The sequence below is a fragment of the Homo sapiens genome, chromosome 9 (genome assembly GCF_000001405.40).
Source record: "Homo sapiens chromosome 9, GRCh38.p14 Primary Assembly".
Classification (NCBI taxonomy): Eukaryota; Metazoa; Chordata; class Mammalia; order Primates; family Hominidae; genus Homo; species Homo sapiens.
In genome coordinates, this window is record NC_000009.12 from 112,057,975 (window position 1) to 112,084,555 (window position 26,581).

At 44.5% G+C, this 26,581-nt stretch overlaps 1 protein-coding gene across 14 annotated transcripts in view, besides 3 other annotated features; it reads right to left on the reverse strand.

Annotated features, from left to right (window-relative positions):
- Positions 1-26,581, reverse strand: part of SUSD1 (sushi domain containing 1) — a 134,515-nt gene that overhangs the window by 17,192 nt on the left and 90,742 nt on the right. For 10 of the 14 annotated variants that reach the window (XR_007061338.1, XR_007061340.1, XR_007061339.1 and 7 more), the window contains 4 exons: positions 22,100-22,191; positions 20,564-20,750; positions 4,963-5,059; positions 454-712 (listed from right to left, as the gene is read on the reverse strand). Coding sequence is in view for 10 of the 14 variants with exons in the window: in NM_001282643.2 (NP_001269572.1) it covers positions 454-712; positions 4,963-5,059; positions 20,564-20,750; positions 22,100-22,191 (635 nt within the window). In the remaining 4 variants the exon portion in view is untranslated. Of the gene's footprint in view, positions 1-453; positions 713-4,962; positions 5,060-20,563; positions 20,751-22,099; positions 22,192-26,581 lie in introns of those variants that run through there. The other 4 variants (XM_047423727.1, XM_017015037.2, XM_047423725.1 and 1 more) reach the window with 2 other exon arrangements.
- Positions 15,742-15,911: an enhancer, noted in NCBI's record as "experimental_106077 CRE fragment used in MPRA reporter constructs". NCBI's record gives its function as "activates a minimal promoter by MPRAs in K562 erythroleukemia cells, with activity observed for both the introgressed and non-introgressed 9:114836081 variant alleles {active_cell/tissue: K562}" and the evidence as "EXISTENCE:reporter gene assay evidence [ECO:0000049][PMID:34662402]".
- Positions 19,117-19,216: an enhancer, noted in NCBI's record as "active region_28818". NCBI's record gives its function as "activates an Ori minimal core promoter by ATAC-STARR-seq in GM12878 lymphoblastoid cells {active_cell/tissue: GM12878}" and the evidence as "EXISTENCE:reporter gene assay evidence [ECO:0000049][PMID:35858748]".
- Positions 26,481-26,560: an enhancer, noted in NCBI's record as "active region_28819". NCBI's record gives its function as "activates an Ori minimal core promoter by ATAC-STARR-seq in GM12878 lymphoblastoid cells {active_cell/tissue: GM12878}" and the evidence as "EXISTENCE:reporter gene assay evidence [ECO:0000049][PMID:35858748]".

Genomic DNA, 26,581 nt, shown 5'->3' on the forward strand with positions numbered 1-26,581 from the left:
CTGTAGAAGGGAAAGTGGGACCTATGCCATAGCTGCGGAAGGGATGTAAGCAAAAAACAGCCGAGTGCTGTGCTTAATCTTCGGCTTCCCAGGAGAATGAGAGAAGCAGCAGCCTGGCAGGGGCACAAGGAAGTTAACAGAGAATCTAGATGTTTCTTTCCAACTTAGACTTCAGCAGTGCAATAGAATGAGGGCATCTGTAAAGCTTAAGAGTAAAAACAAAACCAGGTCAGTCCAAATGTTGATTCAGCAAGGTCCCCAGGTGGTTCAGAATCCATATCATCTGTAAGGGTTTCACCTGTCCCTTCTTCATAAAGGCAAAGTATTCACAAACATTTTGTGATTGTTACATGCAGTGACCCTCTCATATACTTGGAAAATAAATGTTCAAACATTTAAATGTCATACGAAGAAGAAAATACAGAGTTCACAAGAGCTTGGAAAGAAAGATACCTTATTCCATTCACTTGTGATTCGTAATATAATGCAGTAATCACTCCCTCTTTTCAAGGGTGCATTATAATATTCCCCATAGTACAGCCTGTCTCCTATAGGTATCTCCATGGCATCATCTGGAACATCTTTGGCCAGTAGTTCTGCAGCCACGTATCCATCAGCATCAGAGGCGTTGCTAAAGAAGGAGGAAGCGCCTTCAGAATCACAAGAAAATGTGCTTTGGAGGGCCAGGGGAAGCACTAACACCTGATATGAACTGGAAGAAAAAAGGAGAAGTGTCCATCAGACCCTTGCATGGGGAGTTCATTCATTCATTCATATTTATTGAGCACCTGCTATGAGACAAACCTCTTTCTTTGTTTTTTTGTTTTTTGTTTTTTTTGAGATGGAGTCTTGCTCTGTCACTAGGCTGGAGTACAGTGGTGCAATCTCGGCTCACTGCAACCTCCATCTCCCAGGTTCAAGCAATTCTCCTGCCTCAGCCTCCCAAGTAGCTGGGACTACAGGTGCATGCCACCACGCCCAACTAACTTTTGTATTTTTAGTAGAGATGGGGTTTCACCATGTTGGCCAGGCTTGTCTCGATCTCTTGACCTCATGATCCACCCGCCTCGGCCTCCCAGAGTGCTGGGATTACAGGCGTGAGCCACTGCGCCCAGCTGAAATAAGCCTCTTTCTAGGCACTGGAGACACGACACTAGGCAAGAAAAAGTCCGGGCCCATGTGGGATTTACAGTCTGATGGCTCCAACCATCATGGAATTCCAGTTTGAACCTAAAGGGTTAATGCCAGACGACACAGGGCAAGGGACCTCTCCAAGTTCTGGCTGCAGAGAGATGCCAAGTACATCCTCTTTCGCTGGGAGAAGTTGTTGCAAGTATCACTGCCCTGTGTGTGTGTCATAAAATTGACCTGATCAGTGATTTTCACGTGGGCAAATAAAGCCCAACTGTGGAAAGGGTTAGCAGTCACATGGAGACCGAGTGCCTACCACAGTGAATGTACTAAGTCCGGAAAAAAGGCTGCAGACAGTCATGCGGTGACCTGAAACAGAACTCATGTGATTTACATCCCCTACAGTTCATGGGCTGATACCAAAGTTCATGTGAAATAAATGAGACGCCAAGAGTGCAGAGTCACCATGAGTTAATCTAGTCTGACAACACCCTGAAACAGCCAGAACAGTAATATGTCATGTATGCACTGTAAAAACTGTTCCCCAATTGTGGACAGAAAAACACACTAACAAATGGGTATTGTTTTTGTTATGTGTTTCATTATTTGTCCCATCAAATAGAAAGCCTGGCAGTGAAAGGACGTGTGAGAATAAAAATGCACTGAGAATGAATCACACTTCCCTTCTATTCCCATCTATCTGGTACTTAGCTCCTGCCTCTAGTACCATGTTGAGCATCTGCTGTCTCTGTCAGGCTTGATAGCAGGGATCTGAACGACTGACTTGTATTCTTGCAAATCCTTGCACAGTTCTTTGGAAATGATAGCTCCCCAACCCCCGCCCTGCCCCGCCCCTCCGCCACCAGCAATGAATGATTCTTGAGTTGAAATTTCGGAAAAGAGGAAAAGCATACATCAGCGTGAAATATAATTAGGGTAATTTCCAAAACTCATTAGGCCATGTAATTCTATTTTACCAGTAAATTTGAACTTCCTGCTTCACATGTCAAACGCCCTATCTCCTGCTTCCTAAGAGCCCATGAATCACTAGGTTAAGAAGAGGGAGCCCTCCTCCACAGTGGGTGTTGGATATGGAAAGTCTCCCCCCACCAGGTTCCCAAACATCCTAGGTATCCTCAGGGCCCTGATTTTCTTTCTTTTCTTTTCTTTTTTAAGAAGGGAGTCTTGCTCTGCTGCCCAGGCTGGAGTGCAGTGGTGTGATCTCAGCTCACTGCAACCTTTACCTCCCAGGTTCAAGCGATTCTTCTGCTTCAGCCTCCTGAGTAGCCAAGACTACAGGCACTCGCCACTATGCCCGGTTAATTTTTTTTGTATTTTTAGTAGAGATGGTGTTCCACCATGTTGGCCAGGCTGGTCTTGAACTCCTGACCTCTTTAGCTGGGGGAAGTTGTTGCACGTATCACTGCCCTGTGTGCCCACCTCTGCCTCCCAATGGGCTGGGATTACAGGCGTAAGCCACTGTGCCTGGCCCAGGGTCCTGATTTTCATAAAGTCTTGGCTCACTTTCAGCCAAGGGCTTTCTACAAAAGAGATAAAGTAAAACCCACAGGGCAATAAGTTGTCACCACCAGTAAACATTTATTAAGCATCCACTGCCTATGGGGAACACCTGTAACAACAAACTTGCCGGGAGACTTGAAGACATCCCTACATCATAGCCACAGGTAAGAAAGTAAATGTTGCAGCACCTCCATGCGGTCCATAAGTACATCTTTAAATCCCTCTCATCTTTCCATGCAGGTGGTGGTGGTCAAGAGCAAGGTCGAGGCTCACCTGTGCCCATTTGGTTCCGTACATTGCTCACTAGAGGCATCATCGACAGAGTATGAATCAGCTCCCCAATTAGCCTGACCGTAATCACCTGTGTTGCTTGATTATTATACAAATTCCCCGACCTCATACCGACCTACTGAATCGAAATCTCTAGGAGTAGATTCTGGGAATCTGTATCGCTGGTAAAGCTCCCAGGTGATTCCTATAATCTGGCAATGTGGGAGACACGAGCATTAAGGGAACCCAGCAACAGGCTCCATCCTCTGCCTAACATCAGCAACCTCAGCAGAGACTTGGTCCCAGGGACCTTGCTCCATTATGTACCCCAAGACACTGTCCCTAAATGGTGCACAAAGCAGACTCAGGCCTGTCTCACACACTGGCAAAGCTGCTGCCCCCCAGCTCAAACCAGGTAGTCAGGCTTAGGAAAACCACCCTGCCTGCTGGTAATTAGCCATGTGATGTTAAAGAAGCAGCTGTGGCTGTTTGGAATATGACTGTTCTGGAAGGACTTTTCTCCTCTTTTTCACCACCACACTCCCTCGAATGACTCACAGTTCTCCACTTCCTGTTTTGGAGGCGCTGGCCGGCATATAGCCACAAGGGTAAGCTGTCATTTGGCTTTTCTTTTGCATTATGTCATTATTTGACATAAATATCACATTTGTTCTTGCAAATGCTCTCAGGAAGTGACATCACAACTTCTGTTCTCTTTATAATGACAGAATTACAATGCCTTCTGGTAACTTGTCAAGAATCAGAACAATTTATACAATGTCCATCCCTGGAAAGATCTTTGCACATTTACTGAACTTAAATGAATATAAAAGCAGGAAAACCCTAAGTTTTATTATAAATGGATATACAGATAATATCGCCAGACTTTCTTTTTTGTAATTTTATAATATCTCACTTTTTTTTTTTTAACCTTGATTTTACCGAAGGGTCAGCAGAGACAAAGGCAATGTTGGTGAGGCCATGTACATTTTCATCTCCTTGAGCTGGTACTGTGAGCAAGCTGTTCATCTCTCCACGCCAACCTCAATCTTCCTCTCTAAAAAAGGGACTGATGCTACTTTCCTAATCCTGCCATGACCTTTGCAAATAAAACACTTAACTGAACACACTGTAGTCCTCCAACTGAGGTAAATTAATTCCATCCTAATGCCATCTGGAATCCCAGAAGCAGTCATTAATTATACAGTGTCTTGCCTGTAACTCAATACATGAAAAGACAAAAAGATTTACCTAAATGATCTTTTCAGAAACCACTGCACACCCCCCAAGATCAACCTTACATAAAGGGCAACATATTCTGCCTTTGGGAAATGAAACGATGCCCCTGACCCACCATCCATAAAGGATGTACTATGAGACATGAGTGCAAAGGACAATCCTGACATGTCCTAACATGCAACCGACGTTTACCCAGGGACCAAAGGAATGGATGTAATTTCTTGAGCTAAACTGCCCAAATGCTTGTATATAGGGTCCTTTAGAAGTCTCTCTATGTGGCCGGGTGTGGTGGTTCAAGCCTGTAATCCTAGCACTTTGGGAGGTTGAGGCTGGTGGATCACCTGAGGTCAGGAGTTCAAGACCAGCCTGACCAACATGGCAAAACCTCGTCTCAACTAAAAATACAAAAATTAGCCAGGTGTGGTGGTGCACACCTATAATCCCAGCTACTCAGGAGGCAGTGGAAGGAGAATCACTTGCACCCAGCAGGTGGAGGTTGCAGTGAGCTGAGATCGCAACACTGTACTCCGGCCTGTATGATGGGAGTGACACTCCATCTCAAAAAAATAAAAAATAAAATTTAAATTTTAAAAAAAAGAAGTCTCTCTCACCATTAGAAAGGATGCTGGTTGGGATTAAAGGCCAGTCTGTACCCAAGGAAACAAAAGAGGCCCCAACTGCATTGTTCTAACCACCCAAGTGCAGCCACCAACACAGAAGTCTTCTCCTCACCAAAATCAAAGTTTCCAAAACACTCCATGGGGATCACTGGGCAACCGTGGAGAAAGGACAGCTACTGACCTGATTGGTCCATTTTTCTCCTTGGCTTTCCTCAGTCTGAGGCGTGGTAGAGGTCCTCTGTGCACCGTAAAAAATTCTACTTCCGGGAGGGGAGGCTCTGAAAACATGTTGAAAAGAAGAAAAGGGGTATGATTGGAACAAGTAAACAGCAGGACAAAAGAGGTCCTCGTGAGGGCTATCAAAAAGAAAGTTTTAATTTCAGAAGCGAGGAGCCTATTCTGTACATGCCACAATGTGGAAGAACATGCTAAGTGAAATACACCAGGCACAAAAGGACAGATTCTCTATCATTCCACTTAGATGAAAAATCTAACATAGGCAAATTCATAGAGACAGAAGAAGTTGCTGGGGGTGGAGGGGGCATGTAGGGAATGGGAACATATTGCTTAATGGTCACAGAGGTTCTCCTTGGGGTGATGAAAAAATTTTGGAAATACACAGTGGTGAGGGTTGCACAACATGCCAATAAACTGTGTGCTTCAAGATGTTAAAATGGCACATTTTATGTGATGTGTATTTTGCCACAATAAAAAGAAGTGATGAGTATATCATGGCACTGGCAGAGGATAGATGTGGTGAGTATTACAGTTTGCTTGGTGGGTAGATTCCTACTTGGTAGGGAAGACCACCACATCAGCCTTCAATATCCTTTATAATCACAGAGCTCTCTGTCCTTATTTTCCCGCCCCCAGCAACAAGATTTCCCAAATAGGTTTTCCATCCGGAGGAAACTACACTGACTGGCTGACACCAGCGTTCTTGCTCACTGGTAGTTACAGTCATGGTATAAATGTGCTAACTGCCATTCTGCCTTGTGGGTAACACGCTAAGTAAGACATACTGGGCACTAACCATTCACACTAGAGATGTTCTACATATGCCCCATCTTACTTAATCTTCTCAACAGGGCTACCAAGTGGATGATGTTTATAGAAGCAATCATTTGCTTCCTCTCTTGGGGTTCCTACCCATGCAATGTAGGAACTTCTTCCCTCTCCAAAGTATTAGGAAAAGAGCTTCCACCTGGCCTTCTATCCATCCCTGTGATTTGTGAAACAGCTAGTTCCCATGTAGCCCCATCCTTATTTTTTTATTTTTCTTTCTTTTTTTGGGGGGGGGGCGGGTGGGGGCTGCCTGAATGCAGGACAGGTGATTTCCCACCTCCCAGTCCTACTGTCCATCTCTAGGCAAACCTGAGTCACCTGCCTGAAGCCTGGTCTACATTTGCCCTATAGCCGGGGTTCCCAACCCCAGGTGGTGGGCCAGTACCAGTCTGTGGCCTGTTAGGAACCAGGCCACACAGCAGGAGGTGAGCAGCAGGTGGACAAGCATTCCTGCCTGAGCTCCACCTCCTGTCAGATCAGTGGCAGCATTAGATTCTCATAAGAGCATGAACCCTATTGTGAACTGTGCATACAAGGGATCTAGATTGTGCACTCCTTATGAGAATCTAATGCCTGATGATCTGAGGTGGAACAATTTTATCCCGAAACCATCCCCCTACCCACCCCAGTCCGTTGGAAAACTGTCTCTGATGAAACCAGTCCCTGGCACCAACAAGGCTGGGGACCACTGCATTATAGCTTCCACTTCCCCATAGGTGGGGCACAAAGTGTAGGCGTGGGAGGAAGTTCAAGAAGCTTCATTTTGGCCGGGTGCGGGGGTGCGGTGGCTCACGCCTGTAATCCCAGCACTTTGGAAGGCCAAGGCAGGCGGATCACCGGAGGCCAGGAGTTTGAGACCAGCCTGGCCAACATGGTGAGACTCTGTCTCTACTAAAGATGCAAAAATTAGCCAGGCGTGGTGGCGGGCACCTGTAATCCCAGCTACTCAGGAGGCAGAGGCAGGAGAATCGCTTGAACCGGGCAGGCAGAGGTTGCAGTGAGCCAAGATCATGCCACTGCACTCCAGCCTGGGTGACAGAGTGAGACTCTGTCTCAGAAAAAAAAAAAAAAAAAGAAGCCTCAGACCCAAACCAGTTTTACCAGCAATAAAACTGATTACTTTGATCCCTTTCTAACGCTTATGTATCTTCTTCAATTTCCCTAATCTCAGAGGTGGAACAAGTACAGTTATTATCTCAGAAAAACTCATTTTATAGATGAGGAAATTGATACATGACAGATTGTTACTTGTCCAAAGGCCACACGATTAGCAAGTCGTAGAGTCAGAATGTGAACTCACGCTCTGCTTACACACCCCTCTCATTCACCTTGGGGTATCTTAAACATTTGGTTCTACCAATTGATCTGGCAAATTTTCATCCCCTTTGAGTGAACTAACAAACTCTACTTTAAAAACACCGGCCAGGGACAGTGGCTCATGCCTGTAATCCCAGCACTTTGGGAGGCAGAGGTGGGCGGATCACTTGAGGTCAGGAGTTTGAGACTAGCCTGGGCAACATGGTGAAATCCCATCTCTAGTAAAAAAATACAAAAATTAGCCAGGCATGGTGGCACACCTCTGTAATCCCAGCTACTCAGGAGTCTGAGGCAGGTGAATTGCTTGAAGCTGGGAGGCAGAGGTTGCAGTGAGCCGAGATTGTGCCACTGCACTCCAGCCTGGGCGAAAAAGTGAGACTCTGTCTCAAAAAGTAAAAATAAAAACACTGAATCCCCAAAGATTTTACAAACACATCAGCTCCAATAAAATGATCCACTTGCCACAATTACTGCAGAGTTAGAGGTCTACCCAGTGTGGCTCACATCAGAGAAGCTAGACTACAGTTAAACTGCAGAAATAATACGATGTAGTGGGTAGGAACACAGGACTTGGGTTGCTATCCTGGTTCTATCACTTATACCTCCAGCAGCCTCATCTGTTAAATAGGGGTAGAAACAACCTCTACCTGTTAGGCCTGTTGAGGGAATTAATGAGCCAATTCATAATGATTAACAATAATAGTTAATGAGTCAACACAAGTAAAGAGAATAAAACAGTGCCTGGAACACAGCAGCCGTCAGCGCCTGTTGGCACCTGTATGATATCACTTGAGCTACTAGTTGCCAATTCTATGCTAGGAACTTTGCCTCTGCTGTTTCAACAAATACTCACAGCAGCTCTGCGTGACAATCATCTCTATCTTATCAGTGAGGAAATCAAGGCTCAGGCAGGCCGAGTCACACCACTAGAAGACGGCCGGCCGAGCCAAGTGTGGAACTCAGTAATTTGACTCCAAAGTCTCCTTCGCTACATTGCCAGGCCATGACAATGCTTGCGTTCACTTTACCTGAGATTAAACCATGACCTAGAAGTAGAAACCTGGAATTACAAATCCCTGAGGAATGAGAGACCTCTGTGCCTGAGACCGTAAGGAACAGAGCTTGGGGGTCCTGGGGTGTCAAACACCAAGGATCTCTTAATTAGCAAGTTCAAAGGGAAGGGATGAATAGAAAAGAAAAAACTCAGAAATGACCCCAGGAGGGAGACCATAGGGACAGGTTTAGCTCCTTCCCAGCTTGAGTACACAGGAAATGTCATTCAGGGAACTGTGACTTGTAATATAGAAAGAGGGTTCCTTACAGCACAGAGAGTGGCAACAGAAGCCAGGCGAAATAGGCAGTGTTCCTAAGTCAGGTCTGGAGTGGCATTCTGCTGAATGAACGGGGCTTGAAAGAAAACAAACCTGGAAGAGACCATGGAAAGCTGCAACCCTGTAATCGCGAAACTCCCAAAGATGGGACACCTTGTGCCTGAGATTCTCCGAGTCCGTACGTGTTGTCTTTTCATATGTTACATACTTTATATGTAAGTGCTCAGCATCCCTTTTTCTGTGGAGAGCGGCCCTTCTCCTTCCCATATGGTTCTTATGGGGCCAGCATTCCCAGTACTCCAAATCCCCACTGGCCCAGGGCCCAGTGATTATGGATTGCCATTCCCCAGTCAGAAGATGGCTCAAAAAGAGCAATCTGTTTAGGAGATTGGAGGTTTTATTTTTTGTTGTTTATCTGTTTTTTTGAGATGGAGTCTCACTCTGTCACCCAGGCTGGAGTACAGTGGCATGATCTTGGCTCACTGCAATCTCTGCCTCCCAGGTTCAAGCTCTTCTTCTACCTCAGCCTCCCGAGTAGCTGGGACTACAAGGCATACACCACCATGCACAGCTAATTTTTGTATTTTTAGTAGAGATGGGGTTTCACCATGTTGGCCAGGCTGGTCTCAACACTCCTCACCTCAGGTGATCCGCCCACCTCTGCCTCCCAAAGTGCTGGGATTACAGGCGTGAGCCACCACACCAGGCCTAGAAGATTGGAGGGTTTTATTCTTCTTCTTAGATTGTAGCTGTAAGTACCAGGTAGGCCAATAGTACAATGTCCATCCTCCCAGGTCTGGCTGGAAGAATTTGGCAGAAAGAGGGCCTCATGGCTGGAAGAGCAACGGGCCTGTGGTGACACCACGTGTGACTGAAGCTTGCTGTCTCCAAACAAGATCCATCCTGGGCCTTCCCAGTTCTGTGATCCCACAGATTCCACATGCTTAAGCTGGTTGGAGTTGGGTTTCTGTCACTTGCAACCAAAAGAGCCCTGACTATAGAATGCATCCAGCGCCTTGGTATTCTGTGGAAAGGCAGAACCCTCAGCTGTGTACTGGCAGGAACTCTGGTGCTAGGCCAAGTGAACACGGTAGGGAAGTGGTCCTTATGCATTTGTGCAAGAAGAATTGCTGTGAATTCCAGGCAAATGCTAAACCCCTTGGGTGGTGGAGACAGTGAGGACAGCAGGAAGAACTGCCTTAAGAATCCCCTTTAGACCCTGGACTAAACCACCCCTCCTTCAAAGTCTATCACTGCATCAGCTCAGTAGGGCAAGGGAGGAAGGGCATGATGGAAGGAAAGAGAAAGAGCTATTAAAAACATATGTATGAATGCCTCCCCCCCAATCCCCCCACCCTAGCCCTAAACCCTGCCACTGTGAACTGAAGGACTCTGAGGCCAAAATAGATTCTCAAGACTGTATTTACCAGATTAGAAAATAGCTTTGGGGTAGAAACCCTCAATCTCAAATTATAATAAATAAAAACTTAGACCTGCCTGGACCTTTACAGTTGTTAAAGCACTACTATATATATTATTCATATATCTGCATTCAACAAACACCCATTAGCCACCTCTGCCGCAGGCTCTGTGCTAGGCTGGGGGAGACAAGCACAGAAGACATGCTTTCTGCTTTCTGGGAGCTTGGAGTGTAATCATGGAGACAGTTTTGTAAAGGTAGTGCCCAGAGCTGTGATGGAGTTATATACAGAGCACTGTGGATGTGAGGAGGAACATCTAACTGAAGGCAGGGAGCTGAGCCTATCAAACACGGAAATAGACATCTGCAGAGGCATGAGGTGGTGGCAGGGAGGGATAGAACTACATGGAGTTCCTGGCTGAAAGGTTGAGGTCTGGCAGAGTAGAAGTAGGTGGTCAAGTTAGAGGGGTAGGTGTGGGTCAGATCTGAGAGATCTGAGGTTCCAGAAGTAATAAGAAGCCATTGAAAGATTTTTAGCAGGCTGGGTGCACTGGCTCATGCCTGTAATCCCAGCACTTGAGGCAAGCAGGTTGTTTGAGGCCAAGAGTTCAAGACCAGCTTGGGCAACATGGTGAAACCTTGTCTCTACAAAAAATGTTTTAAATTAGTCAGGCACAGTGGTGTACACCTGTGATCCCAGCTACTCATGAGGCCAAGGTGGGAGGATTGCTTGAGCCCGGGAGGCAGAGGTTGCAGTGAGCCAAGATTGCACCACTGCACTCCAGCCTGGGCAACAGCTAGACCCTGTCTCAAAAAAAAAAAAAAAAAATATTTTTAGCCGTTCTGCACTTCAAAAATACAACTTAGAGAGCTGATCAAAGGATGAATAGAAAAAGGGCAAAAATACAGGTTGTCCAATAATCCAGGTCGGAAGTGCTCGAGGTCTGCTGCAAGTGAGAGCACTGAGAATGGAGAAGAGGGAACAAACGGAAACCTTGCTCAGGGGAGAGACGGCAGGAATCTGGCAACCAAGTCAGCAGTGATGTCATTTACCAAGTCTGGGGGAAGACGAGAAGCAGCTCACTTCTAGGTCTGTTCAGGTTGAAGTGTATAAGGAATCCTCCAGCAGGCAGTTAGAAACATAGGTCTGGAGCCTAGGAGCAAACCCCATGGTGGAGATACAGAGGCAGCTCACAGGGAGGAGTGAACGTGGCCACCAGGGAGCCAGTATCAAAGTATGTGAGGAGAGATGGGGGCCAAGGGCGGACCACCGAGAAACCCAGGCTCTAAGACCAGGTGGAAGAGTAAGAGAACTCTGTGGCCTTTATGAAACAGTGTTAGGTCTAGAATTTCTCCCAGAGTCTCTTAGACACTGCAATATAGATCATGTTTTTCCTAAACCTGCGGCATTGCCAGGTGTCCCAGGAGGTCACCTGGAAAAGCCTCTGCTTAGAGTCTAGGCCTCACATCACTCATTTGTTGAAATGAAGGTCTATGCTATTTTCAAGAGCAGTCCAGAGAGAGATTCTGTAGGATACAGCTGAGAAGACAACAGCTGGATTCCTGTGGCAGTGATGGAGGAGAGAGGAAAAGCCCACACATGTCCCCTGGGAACGTACCCCTTCCCCTTTGAGATCGAACTGCCCTCAGGCCCTTTGCTATCACCGAAATGCCCTTTCACTTGTGACGTTTTGTTGTCACAGTAAAATTAACTTTTTTTATTACGTGTCTCCTCTTCTCAGCCAAGGTGGAGATTAACTGGTCACTCTTTTCTGTGTGAGAACTCCGCCCCACCCCACCCCGCCCCGCCCCCACCAGCTCTTTACTCCAAGAGTAATAATTCTAGTTCCTCTAATCTCTTGGCTAACATTTTAAAACCACACAGGAGAAGCAGAACAAAGTACTCACTGAGCTCAGAAGAGGCAACTGCAGACCGAGCAGGAAGGCCATCCCCCTGCTTGGTCCAGGTGATGTCACTCTTTCCCAATCTAGAGTCACAGTTTTCAAGGCACCACAGTCATCTGGTTCAATCAACATGTGACTTTGAGACCATTTTCTGCTCTGTTTGCCTAAGGTCTCCCTGCCCTATATTTTATTTTATTTGTTTTTGTTTTTGTTTTTGCTTTTGCTTTTTGAGATGGAGTTTCGCTCTTGTCGCCCAGGCTGGAGTGCAATGGTGTGATCTCAGCTCACTGCAGCCTCCGCCTCCCGGGCTCAAGCAATTCTCCTGCCACAGCCTCCCGAGTAGCTGGGATTACAGGCATGCACCACCACACACGGCTGATTTTTGTATTTTTAGTAGAGACGGGGTTTCTCCATGTTGGCCAGGCTGGTCCCGAACTCCTGACCCCAGGTGATTCCACCTGCCTCGGCCTCCCAAAGTGCTGGCATTACAGGCATGAGCCACCACGCCCAGCCGCTGCCTTATATTTTAAACAGTCTACTTTTTCTCTCCAATGTACAAGCCTAAGCCTCGTCAGGCTGGTTCTCAGCCACATTTCGAGGTGGAACAAACTTGACTTTCAGCTGAATTTTCCAAGGTGCTCTTCCTTGTCTCCCAAACTGATGTCCTGGGTAGACCTGCTCTCCTTTCCATCAACCTCGTTACTGATTTAAACTGATTTAGACCCAAGGCAAGAAATGGGTCCTGCCTGTGCTGGAAAATATAGCTCTTTCACCTTGGGTGTGTGAGATGGGAGAGGAACCAGAACAGAGACCTTCATTACCATCCTCGGATGTCAGGAATATCCCTCCTCTGCTAGAAGCAAATGGCAAAAGAAATCCTCACATGGAGGGAAATGTGGGGAAAAGTAATGAAGGAGAATTTGCTCTGCAAAAAAAAATATTAAATGTATCATAAAATTACAGCAATTGAAATAGTAAAGTACACGCACAGGACAGACAAACAGTGAAAAAAAGCTAGACAGTCTGGAAAGAGACCCAAAGAAATGCACCAGGTGGCATGGATGGTCAGTAGTTCCAAAGGTGATAGGGAACTGGCTTACAGCTGGGGAGAAAAATTACAATGTAAATTTAGCCTCATATCAGACATCAAAATAAATTCCAAATGAACCTAAGTGGTTTTGTTTTGGTTTTGTTTGTTTGTTTGTTGTAGAAAAGTGGTCTCACTGTGTCGCCCAGGCTGGGGTGCACTGGCATGATCATAGTTCACTGCAGCTTTGAACTCCTGGACTCAAGCAGTCCTCTCTCCTCAGCCTCCTAGAGCGCTGGAATTATAGGAATGTGCCACTGTGCCCAGCCTGAAACTAAATTTTAAGTGCAAAAAAGTAGGTCAGGTGCAGTGGCTCCCACCTATAATCCTGGCTTTTTGGGAGGCCTAGGCAAAAATGATTGCTTGGGCTCAGGAGTTTGAGACCAGCCTGGGCAACATAGTAAGACCTCATCTTTACAAAAAGAAAAAATTAGCAGGGTGTGGTGACATGCACCTGTAGTCTCAGCTACTTGGGAGGCTGAGGCAGGAGGACTGCTTGAGCCCAGGAGTTTGAGGCTGCAGTAAGCTATGATTGTGCCACAGCACTCCAGCCAGGGCAACATAATGAAACTCAGTCTCAAAAAAAATTGAAAAGAAAACAAAAGAGTAAATAGCCTTGGAGTAGGAATTTGTAATATTTATCAAAATATTAATATCACTAATGAAGGTAAACTATTAAATCAACCAAAGAAAAAGGGTAGTATAAGTACAAATGTGTTAAAATGTCTCTATGTAAAACCCATCAAAATGAACAAAAAGAACCAAAAATGGAAGAAAATTTTATCTGCATCAAAACTAAGCAACGTCTCCAACTTTGTACTGCAAACTTCAAGTAAACACAAACAATTGAATTAAAACACAACTCCACCGCCCAAAAACCCAGTACAATGCTACTTTTCTGGATTTTCTATAATAAAAAGTAGGTAGAAAAATAAACACAGCATGATGGTTCTTTTCTAATCCTCAGGCACCTCTCCAGATATATCATCCCATCCAAGGCATGGTAAATTAAAATTGAAGGCAACAGAAAAAATAGTGTCTTCCACTACAAGTCATCAGCTAGATATATCTTCTCCATCAATAAAGTTATGAGACTTCACCTCCCAAGGAGAAGAAACCAATTTCTTTTCACATGTACATCCTCAGTAGGCAGCACAGGTCTTTGTACATAACCAATCGAAAAATATTTGCTAGTGACTTCTCAAGACATCTCCTTTTATTATTTATTTATTTTTATTCTTTTTTATTTCTTTCTTTCTCTTTTTTTTTTTTTTTTGTTTTTTTTTTTGAGACGGAGTCTCACTCTGTTGTCTAGGCTGGACTGCAGTGGCACAATCTCAGCTCACTGCAACTCTGCCTCCCGGGTTCAGGAGATTCTCCTGCCTCAGCCTCCCAGGTAGGTGGGATTACAAGCACCCACACCACACCCAGCTAATTTTTGTATTTTTAGTAGAGACTGGGTTTCACCATGTTGGCCAGGCTGGTCTCGAACTCACCCACCTCAGCTTCCAAAAGTGCTGGGATGGGATTACAGGCATGAGCCACCGTGCCTGGCCAACCCATCTCATTTTTAACAAATACAAGTAAATAAATAAATATTTGCTAAATTAAATTGTTACAGCTCAGCAAGCCCCTCCCCCTCTCCCAACACACACAGAAACCCTAGTTTCCAGGCTTCTGATCTAAGAATACCTTCTCATGCACGTTTTATAAAAGCTAACTTTGGCTGAGATTCAGATGCTGGTAGCAAGAGGGTCTGGGAGACACCCATCCCCACACAGCCATTTACTTGGGGGCTTGGGGTTTGTTTTGAAGCTAGAAAGCAGTTGGGAGATTTCTGGGAATGAGAGAAATACGTGGACTGTGGAAGCATGGAAGGGCAAACATGCCTCTCCTAGCGTGACCTAATGTTAGGGCTCCAGATATCAAAAGAGCCTGTGTCCACGGAAGACTTGGAAAGGAAAACAGCTGGCATGAAGGCCAGTCCCTCTGCTGACCTGTGGTACAGCTTCAGCCCCCTTGGAGCCAGGGGGGCCCCCAGGGATAAGTGTGGTACCTTGGAACCAGCCAGGGGAGATGGGTTTCTCACTGAGGACACAGGGGTACAGCATCCTTGGATGGTTTGTGGGTAACCAACCATGAAAGAGAAGCCTCGGTAAAAGAAACCAAGAGACCTAGTCCTGCACAGTCTTCCCTGAGGACATCCCATTGTGGAGGGCGGTGTCAGAGGCAGGGGCAGGGAGGATCAGGGCAGTCCTGGCTGGACCTCTCTGATAAAGTGACAATCTGATAAATGCCTGGGACACTCCTGTGTTTTCTGTTGTTTTCCTAACCGTCTGAAAAAGTACTTTCCTTTTTCTTGTTATGAATACAATGAGAGATGGGAAATTTCTTGAAGAAGTTGCCAGCCTTGGTACTGAAGACATGGGAATAAATAATTTCCTTTTCATCTTTTCTTCCCTTTGCTCCTCCAGCATGCTTGGTTCCATAATAAACATTCCATCTCAAATGATCACCATGTTGTGTAAGACAAGTGGTCTGGTTTATCTCCACATTTACGTATGTATTGGCTTTCTCACGCTCACTCTCTCTCTCTCTCTTTCTCTCTCTTCCCCACCCCGCCCCCACCCACCCCCATCCTCCTCTCTCTGGTTTCCTCTTTCTCTCTCTATATAAGAAAATGTTGCCTACAAAGCTTTTAGACTTAGCAAGAAAATAGCATACTCAGCTGGACAGTGGCTCATGCCTGTAATCCCAGCACTTTGAGAGGCTAAGGGCAGGCAGATCACTTGAGGTCAGGAGTTTGAGACCAGCCTGGACAACATGGCAAAACCTCATCTCTACTAAAAATATATTTTTAAAATTAGACGGGGCTGGTGATGTGTGCCTGTAATTCCCGCTACTTGGGAGGTCGGGGCATGAGAATCGCTTGAACCTGGGAGGCAGAGGTTGCAGTGAGTCGAGATCACACCACTGCGTAAGCAACAGAGCAAGCCTGGGCAACAGAGCAAGACTGTCTCAAAAAAAGAAAGGGAAAGGGAAAGGAAGGGAAGGAGGCCAGTGCAGTGGCTCACACCTGTGATCCCAGCACTTTGGGAGGCCGAAGTGGGCGGATCACTTAAGGCCAGGAGTTCAAGATCAGCCTGGCCAACATGGTGAAACCCCATCTCTACTAAACATATAAAATTAGCCAAGCGTGGTGGCACACACCTGTAATCCCAGCTACTTGGGAGGCTGAGACATAAGAATCACTTGAACTCAGGAGGTGGAGGTTGCAGTGAGCTCAGATCACGCCACTGCACTCCAGCCTGGGTGACAGAGCGAAATTCTGTCTCAAAACAAAAAAAAAGAAAAAGAAAATAGCACACTCAACATGTGGATGCTCTTCTGACTCTTTGGGGCCTGCATCAAGGATGAAAGTTTGTTCCTCACCCTGTCCTAAAGGGGATGCGTGCCGTGGGGCTATCCTGAAGAATTCAGTTCAATGTGCCGTCTGCAGCCTATCAGCCAAGAGTCAGAAACACCGTGAGGCCACAGCTCCATCTCACCCACCCCCTCGCCAGCCCCTGCTTTCCTGCATTCACCGAAACACTTGCCTCTGTCCCTCAACATTCCTAGAACCTTCACTGTCCTCTGAGGTCAGCGATGTATTTAAAGCACTTGTTTTCATCCTGTTCCCATCAGTAAGATTTAACGTAAGACACTCAGAAGGGAAATTCCACTCTCTTTCCTTCTGGGAAATGAGCAGCTACATTGTCCAGACCCAAATCCTTAGCCTAACACATCTGCCAAAATTCAAAAGTTCATGATTTTACCGAAATAAGGCCACACACTTCTTAGGAAACCACGAGTATCTCTGCACATCAACACATAAGCTTCTCTTTTTTCCTCCTTTTATAAAAGAAAGGGGTTGGTTTTTTTTTTTTTTTAACTCTTTCATAAGATCAAAGCAACTTGATTTTTTTATGCTTCTTTAAAATTACGAGTCCTTTAAAGTGGGTAGAGTTGGAAAATAGGCATCTCAATGAACATTAAACAGCTCAACAATGTCCCCTGGTGGCCATGAGCACAGAGAGAGGGAACTTGAGCCACTAAAGCTCTATTCAGCCTACCAAACAAGGAGTAAGTGTCTCATCAAGATGAAACCCCCTCCCCTTTACTCAAAAAAATATGCAACGGTCCTTCAAACCAGAAAAGCACAGCATCCAAATATGAGAAAGACCACAGAGTAGGAAATGGAGATGGAGTCGCTATTCATTTTAATAAGTCACCACAGAAAGAAATGCCCAGACTGAACACCACTTGTCTCTCCAGCCCAAAATGTGGGGAATTCTTTCTGGTAGCCAGAATTCATTGCCTAACCAGACATCTCCTCAACACCAATACCACCCACTGGCTGTTATTTTAAAATTTTGGGCTGTTATGCTATCTATCAGTACCATTCTTACCCACTGAGGGTTGAATGTAAAACATACAGACAAAAATCACTGTCTTCAGGAAGCTCCTATTTTAGTGGGAGAGAAAGAAAATAAAAAAAAAATAAGTTTTTAGAAAACAAGCTCTAGGCTGGGCACAGAGACTCATGCCTATAATCTCAGCACTTTGGGAGGTGAGATGGGAGGATCACTTGAGGCCAGAAGTTCAAGACCAGCCTAGGCAACATAGGGAGACCCTCATCTCTACAAAAAATAAAAACAAAAAAATCCCTTTTGTAATTAGCCAGGCATGGTGGTGAGCGCCTATAGTCCCAGCTACTCAGCAGGCTGAGGCAGAAGGATTGCTACAGCCCAGGGGCTCAAGGCTGCAGTGAGTTATGATTGCACCACTGCACTCCAGCCTGGGTGACAGAGTGAGACCCTATCTCTAAAAACTAATAATTAATATTTTTTATTAATATGAAGCTCTATGAAGAAATTGAAGCAGGGTAAGTAGATACAGAGTACTAGCGTGGAGGCTGGTGATGGCAGTTGAGCAGGCACCTGAACAACTATGGAGAAGCCATATGTTGACAGTGTCCCAGGAAGTGTGAACTGCAGATGGAAAAGTCTGGAGGCTGGAAAAACTTTGACCCATTGAAGGAACTGCAAGAAGGCCAGGGAGACAGCTGATGCTTAATGGGAAAGGAGGAGAGCAGGGGGAGATGAATTAGAAGTAGGCAGGGGCCAGATGACATGTCCTATGATGAGGAACTTGGATTCCATTCTAACTTTAATGGAAACTCACTGGAGAGTTTTGAGCTGGTGCTGACATGTTCCCAAATGCATTTTTAAAAGATCACTCTGAGTGCTGAGTGATCTTTTGAAAGTTATGGTGAAGACTAAGACTAAGGTCCAGGGTGGGAGGTATATAGGCAAGAGAAAACCAGTTTGAAAACTACAGCAGGAATCCAAGCAAGAGGTGGCTGTCTTGGATTAGGGTAGTTGTGGAAAAGGCACAGGTGGGGAGAAGTGGTGGAATTCAGAATATATTTCAGACAGCAAGCCAACAGGGCTTGTTGACAGATTAGAAATTTGGGGATGGGATAGAACCAATTAGGACTTGTTTTTGGTCTGAACAATTGGGTGAACAGAAATTCCAATAACAGACAGAAAGTAACAGATAGAAACAGAGAAGCCTGGGTGGAAACCGATTTGGGGGCGAGGGCAGAGGTGAGAAATCACAAGTTCCGTTTGATTTGCGTATTAGATGTTCAATAGGACATGTGTAGAAGTTGGGTGGATATAGGAGTCTGGTGCTCAAAGGAGAGGCTGGGACTAGAAATTGATCTTTGGAAATCCTCTGCATATAGGTAATAGTTATAGCCATAAGACTGGTTGAGATCACCTAAGCAGAAAGGGTAGATAATGAAGAAAAGGAGGCTGAAGAGGGGTCATAAAAGTAGATGGAGCTAGCAAAGAAGACTGAGAGGGGACAGCAAGGCAGAAGGAACCAAAACTAAGGGAGAGGGGGTTTCAAGAGGGAGGGAGTGTCAACGCTATCGAAGAAATCAGATAAGAACAAAACTGGCCATTGGATTTGGCAAGACGGAGATCAAACGAAGAGCCTTTCAGTAAAGCAATGAAGACGTATGTTTCCCACGTGGGATGAGTGAAAGTGAGAACAGGAGGTAGGGCTGTGGAGCCTACAGAACAGCCATTTCTTTCAAGGAGTTTTTATAGAAAGGGGCAGAGAGAAGGCAAAGTAGCTGAAGACAAATATGGGCTCAAAGAAGGTCTGCTCATTTTTTCTTTCTTTTCGTTCACAAGGAGGATGTTGCAACATGCTAGGCAATGCTGGGGATAATTCTGTATTGAGGGGAAGTGCTGATCAGGGAAGAAGGGATGGGATCTAAGGCACAAGTTGAGGGGATGGCAGCCTTACACACGAGCAGGGACAGGAAGGGAGGCAGAACAGGATGCAAGGAGGAACGGCAGGGCTGAGCGTGGGAAGTCCTCACCTGACTACTTCTAATTTCTCAGTGAAATAAGAATCAAGAAGCTAATATGCTTAGTATTTGCTCAGAGCATGTGTGAAGTGGGGGTCACAGATGTGAAGAGGGAGGAGAAAATGAGTGGAAAGTGAATTTACTGGGGCCCTATAGCCGGAGGACTACAATCATTGTCCCCTGATAGTAATCTACTTTTTTTTTTTTTTTTTTTTTTTTTTTTTTGAGATGGAGTTTTGCTCTTGTTGCCTAGGCTGGAGTGCGATCTCAGATCAACACAACCTCCACCTCCTGGGTTCAAGCAATTCTCCTGCCTCAGCCTCCCGAGTAGCTGGGATTACAGGCACCTGACACCACACCCAGCTAATTTTTGTATTCTTAGTAGAGGTGGGGTTTCACCACGTCAGCCAGGCTGATCTCGAAATGATCCTCACATGATCAACCCTCCTCAGCTTCCCAAAGTGCTGGGATTACAGGTTTGAGCCACTGTGCCTAGCTAGTAATCTACTCTTAAAGTACTTGCAACAGGATGCCAACTAAATATTCCTGAGAAAGAAAGAGCCACAAGCATTTTTTGTTTAAGTATAAAGTATTTTAAATGCTTTAAATATCCAGAAGCTATACAACCAACACCATGGATGGACACACTACCCACATTTCATCAATGCTGACATTTTGTTTCAGGTATCTTCCCCCTCCCCCTCCCCACAGACCTCCCCTGTGGTTATTAGGTATCTTTTTAAAAATAAAACATAACAGGCTGGGCGCAGTGGCTTACACCTGTAATCCCAGCACTTTGGGAGGCCGAGGCAGGTGGATTGCTTGAGCCCAGGAGTTCGAGACCAGCCTAGGCAACATAGTGAAACCCCGTCTCTACAAAAAATACAGAAATTAGCCAGGCATGGTGGCCTATACAACTATAATCCCAGCTACTCAAGAGGCTGAGGCAGGAGGATCATTTAAGCCCAGGTCAAGGCTGCAGTGAGCCATGATCGTGCCTCTGCACTCCAGCCTGGGCGACAGAGCAAGACCCTGCCTCAAAAAAAGAAAAAAGAATGAAACATAACAGTCACAGAGGCGCCTTAAGGCACCTCTCCAATTCCATGTCCTTCCTCCTCTCCCTGTTAAAGTTCATTATATAATGATAAAAAGCAACAGTGTTCCTCTTTATCAGGACCTATGAACAATTCTGTGGTAACTTTGTTAATCCAAATGCTGTTATTCAAGATTTACCTGTTATCTGGGTTGTCAGGGAGATGACCACAGGAAGTTCCGAAGACAGAGCCCGGAGACTGACATTGTAGTTGGTACCCGGACGTAGGTCCAAGCACACCTCGGGATCTCGGCTGCTGCTACTGATATTAAAGGTCATTTCCTGGGCAAATTCCTTCTGATACCATCTCTGGCCCCAAATGTGGAACTGAAACATAAAAAAGCTCACTGGGTGAATGGTTGGCCTAAAAGGCTTTAGATGCCTTGAAACCTCCCCTTTTCCTTTTTCTTTCTCTTTTTTTTTTTTTTTTTTTGAGATGGGGGCCTCACTCTGTCACCCATGCTGGAGTGCAGTGGCATGACCTCGGCTCACTGCAGCCTCAACCTCCCAGGCTCAAGTGATCCTCCCTCCTCAGCCTCCCAAGTAACTGGGACCACAGATGCATGCCACCACATCCAGCTAATTTTTGTATTTTTTGTAGAGACAGGGTTTCGCCATGTTGCCCAGGCTGGTCTCAAACTCCTGAGCTCTAGTGATCTGCCACCTCGAATCCCAAAGTGCTGAGATCACAGGCGTGAGCCACCGCGCCCAGCCCCTTCCCGTTTTCATGAGCTTTCTTCCTCTCTCTCTCTCTCTGGACTCTAATGTTTCTTCAAAAGGTGAAATGCAGCAGTAAGCAAATATTAGAGTTGCAATACTATAAATATTGTACTTAAAATATTATTTGTATAATAAATATATTTTTAAATAAAAACACACAAAAGGCTAAGGTCCCAATACTGGCAGCTTTCTCCTTATTCTCACACATACAGTGCACATACACAACAAGAAAGTCTATTGGCAAAACTGCAGGAGCAAGGACAAGAACATTTTCCTAGAAAGAATATTAGGAATCCAAACTAAGCAGGACCTGAATTAGAATACTCGTAGCTGGTCTGCTAGAACCTGAGAACAGTTTTTCTCCTCTTCCTGCCAGCTTCTGGTGACCCTACCCTTTCCTTAACCACCCTGACACTTCGGCCAAGAGACACCCTTTTGTTCTTACTTAATTTCTTCCAGTAGAAGTTCATCCCAGTCTTCCCCCTCCTTTTTTTTTTTTTTTCGAGACAAAGTTTTGCTCTGTCACCCAGGCTGGGGTTCAGTGGCGCGATCTTGGTTAACAGAAACCTCCACCTCTTGGGTTCAAGCTATTCTCCTGCCTCAGCCTCCTGAATAGCTGGGATTACAGCTATGCGCCACTACGCTCGGCTAATTTTTATATTTTTAGCAGAGACAGAGTTTCACCATGTTGACCAGGCTGGTCTTAACTCCTGGCCTCAAGTGATCCGCCCGCCTCAGCCTCTCAAAGTACTGGGATTACAAATGTGAGCCACTGTGCCCAGCCACTGTCTTTAAATACACAGAAGTGGCCATCTTCTTGCTTCTTGATGCAATTGTCACAGTAAATCGTCTACTGATAATGATAGTTATAGATGTAGATTTTTAGGTTTGTGGGTATTTTTAAGCCTCCCACATAAGACAACCATCTATAAATACAGTAACTTTCAGTCACTTACTAAATACATCTCCTCCATATCAGCTGTCTTGATGCTTCTCCATCTCAAGCAGGTTTCATTAAATCCTGAAATGTTACTGATGGTCTGTTTTACTGTAGTGGAAAAGAAATGAGAAATCAATTTACACTCTATAGAAAAAATGCTACCTTTTAATTGAGCCATTTTTCCAAGGATAAGTGTTAGCATGAGTTCAACAGTATTTTAATTTAGAAATTAGTGGTAGCAGTCTCAAAGTAATACCACTTTTATATCTAGGTAAACTCAGTCTTGATGAAAGATTTCAGATCCAAAGATACCTAATCGGAGGACCCCTCTTAAGAATTATTTGAGTGGGCCGGGCACAGTGGCTCACGCCTGTAACCCCAGCACTTTGGGAGGCCAAGGCAGGCAGATCACTTGAGGCCACGAGTTCGAGACCAGCCTGGCCAACATAGCGAAACCCCATCTCTACTAAAAATACAAAAACTAGCTGGGCGTGGTGGTGTGTGCCTGTAGTCCCAGCTACTTGGGAGGCTGAAGCAGGAGAATCGCTTGAACCTGGGAGGCGGGGGTTGCAGTCAGCAGAGATTGTGCCACTGCACTCCAGCCTGGGTGACAGAGTGAGACTCTGTCTCAAGAAAAAAAAAAAAAAGAAAAGAAAAAGGAAAAAAATTATTTGAGTCTATTTACTGCAAGCTTCCTTGGCTTACTAAGCTAAAATTACAACTATTTGTCCTGGACCTTGTATACCCTCATTTATACAAATAAGTGTCGGTTCGAAATTCTGAGCTAAGAGCAACATTTCAGCAGAGAATTGCTCCTTGAGGAACTGAAAAAAGTGCTTTGAAGCAATCAGGTTTTTCATGAGGAAAAGAATAGGAGGTGGCGGGATTCTCTTGGTTTGGGCTTCCTTATCTCTTGTGAGCAAAGAAATATTTCTTGTCCTCTGCTCAGTTTCATAGTAATCAATCTAAAAGACAGTTCAGATCTGATACAGTTTAATGTGGAGGTACACCCATCCAAGTAGTCAAGAAAGACTATTTATTCAAAACCCTGACATCAGAGGTTACTTCCTTCAATAAGGATCTCTGTCCCTAAAGTGGAAATAATAGAGCAGACTTGCTAAGAAGTTTCACAGGAACACTGTGATGATTAACGAGTGATAAAGACAACTCCCAAATTACGTGAAAAAAGGAAGGTCTCATGAAAGGTAAGGCTGTATTTTGTAACTCCCTGGCCTGACAGGTTCCTACAAATGAAGCCAAGTTGGTAGACACGACTCCTCTCTATGGATTGGGCAGCTTGGCACAAAGAAAACCTGTACAAGTCACAAGCTGTACCTCAAATGTTGCAACACGGAGCAGGTAGGGAACAGGAGGAAAAGATGAACAGGTGGTAAGGAACAGGAGGAGTACAGATGATTCCAGGTTAATGCAGACCCACAGCTGGGTAGAGACAGGTTTGGAGATTAGTAGTAGTGGTCCAAAGTTACACTTCTGAAACTTTCAAAATACAAATAACTCCAATAGTATTTAAACAGTTCTAGACTATACAAAAAGGTGGAAGGGTCCCCAAATCATTTAATATGACTAAATAATCCACAATGCCCGACCTGTACAAGGATGGCACAGCCAATCACTAAACATCCTATGCCAAATTTGCTTGTTGATATAAATACAAAAATCCAAAATAAAATATTAGCACAAAGAAGTCAGTAGTACATTCAAAGAACAATACACTACGACCAAAGATTTATTCCCAGAATACAGAGAGTATCATTATTGGAAAAGCTATTAATAGGTTAAAAGAGAGAAACCATGTGGTTACTTTTATAAATGGAACTGTTAATACATTTAATATACTTTGTTAACTTGAAATCTTAGTGAGCTAGGACTTCATTTGACAGAAACGCCTTAGTTTAATAGGGTTTATAAGAAACCACCACACTCAGTGGTAAAGCAATTAAGCAATTTCTAGTAAAGTTAAGAACAATACAAGGATGTCTGGTCTTGTAGCTATTACTGAGCCTTATTCAAGAGATTCTAGACAATGCAGAAAAAGGCAAGAAAAAAAAATGAGCTATAAATGCCAGAAAGAGCAACAAATGATGCAACTGCCAGTAAATCTAAGAGACTCAACTAATCAAACATGAAACTGTTTGAAAATAACAGAAAGGCAACATACAAAAACTGATCATTTTCTATCTATCTTCAAGAACAAGTATGGTAGGTTAAATAATGACCCCCACCCGCCACCAGCATGTCTACATCCTAGTCCCTGGAACCTGTATGTTACCTTACATGGCAGAAACACTTTGTAGAGGTGACTAAGACAGTGAGATTATCCTGAATTGTCCAGATGAGCTCAATGTGATTACAAACATCCTTATAAGAGAGCAACAAGAACATAAGAGTTAGAAGATTTAAGAACGGAAGCAGAGGTTAAACTGATGAGCTTTAAATATGGCGGATGGAGCCACAAGCCAAGGAGTATAGGCAGGATCTAGAAACTGGAAAGGGCGTGGAAATAGATTCTCCCCTAGATACCCCCCGCCCCTGAAGAAACACAGGCCTACTGACACCTTGATTACAGCTTAGTGAAACTGATTTCACACTTCCGACCTCCAGAACTATAAGACACTAAATTCATGTTGCTTTTAGTTTTTGTTTTGTTTTGTTTTTTTGAGACAGGGTCCTGTTCTGTCACCCAGGTTGGAGTACAGTGACCTGATCATGGCTCACTGCAGCCTTGACCTCCTGAGCTCAAGTGATCCCCCTGCCTCAGTCTCTCAAGTAGCTGGGACCACGGGCACACACCACCACGTCCGGCTTATTTTTTATTTATTTTAATTTTTTTGTAGAGACAGGGTTTCTATGTTGCCCAGGCTGGGCTTGAACTCCTGGGCTCCCACCTCAGCCTCCAAGCAATCCTCCTACCTCAGCATCCCAAAGTGCTGGATTATAAATGTAAGCCACTGTACCCAGCCCTCATGTTATTTTCTGCCACTAAGTTTGCAGTAACTTGTCATAGCAGCAACAGAAAACTAATACAACAAGTAGCAGAATATAATAGAAAAATAAAAAGATCCATATTCATGAGATGGGATATCACAAGCAAACTTCAAATACCTAGAAATAAACCTAACTAGAAATGTCCAAAACTTACACGAAGATTTTAAAGAATTTTTTTTTTTGAGATGTAGTCTCTCTCTGTTTCCCAGGCTGGAGTGCAGTGGCACAATCTCAGCTCAGTGCAACCTCTGCCTCCTGAGTTCAAGCAATTCTCCTGCCTCAGCCTCCCAAGTAGCTGGGACTACAGGCATGCACCACCACACCTGGCTAATTGTTGTATTTGTAGTAGAAACAGGGTTTCACCATGTTGGGCAGGCTGGTCTCGAACTCCTGACCTCAAGTGATCCGCCCACCTTGGCCTCCCAAAGTGCTGGAATTACAGGTGTGAGCCACCGCCCCCAGCCACCACAATTATTTTCTTATCTCACGGAACTAATTTATACTGATTGAAAAAGCTTTTACAGACCAACATAGATATTAAATTTTAATTGTATATTATAAGACAAAAATATAAGCAAAATTAATTGAGACATTCCTAAAATTTCTTCACGGTCAGAATATAACAAACACTTCTCAATCACTTCTCAATTAAGAGTTGTTGGTGTCTATATTTTTCCACATAATAACATCCTATGTGCTATCTATCCAGAGTTTGGTGAGGCAGTATTTCTTCAAAATGTGCTCTTTTTGTTTCCAGAACTTTCTCGCCATCCACTGACACCCATTCTGATGCTGAAAGTTGATCTTATACTTTGCCGTTCTGTTCCCATTGCGCTTTACATATTATAACACTATGTCTCAATGTCAAATCATAATGTAGCTTTTTGGAAAAAGTTTTAGTAGGCAATTGATCTCAAGAAATAAATGGCACCACTAGTGTCCGTAACTAAATAGAAGTGACAGCACTATGAGCAACTATGACCAATATGATGCATAGATGGACAATGACAATTATGTTCTTGGCAGCCACCTGACTGACTGTATAACAATTGTAGGATTTCATAGATACCAAAATGTGAAAAAAATATGCCTCTGAGAATCAATAAAACATAATATATACAAGCATATTAACAGTAGCATTGTCTGTAATGACAAAAACTTGAAAGGGAAAAAAAATACCCAAATAACCTTCTATAGATAATAAGTTAATAAATTAGTATACCTTTATGTGATAGAATACTGTGCTTCCCTCAAAGAGAATGAGATGACAATACATGAATTGGTATGGAAGTATGTCTACAGGATATTGTAAGGCCAAAAGTCAAAGAATAATATAAAAAAGCAAAATGAAGAATAATATATATATAATTATTTCATTTTTTAAAATTACACACACACATATGCTCAAGTAACCTAACAGTAGTGGTGAGTCTGCAGCTCCTTCTGCTCACAGGAAATGTCTCACTGGCTCAGTTCATTCAGTTCCACCCGG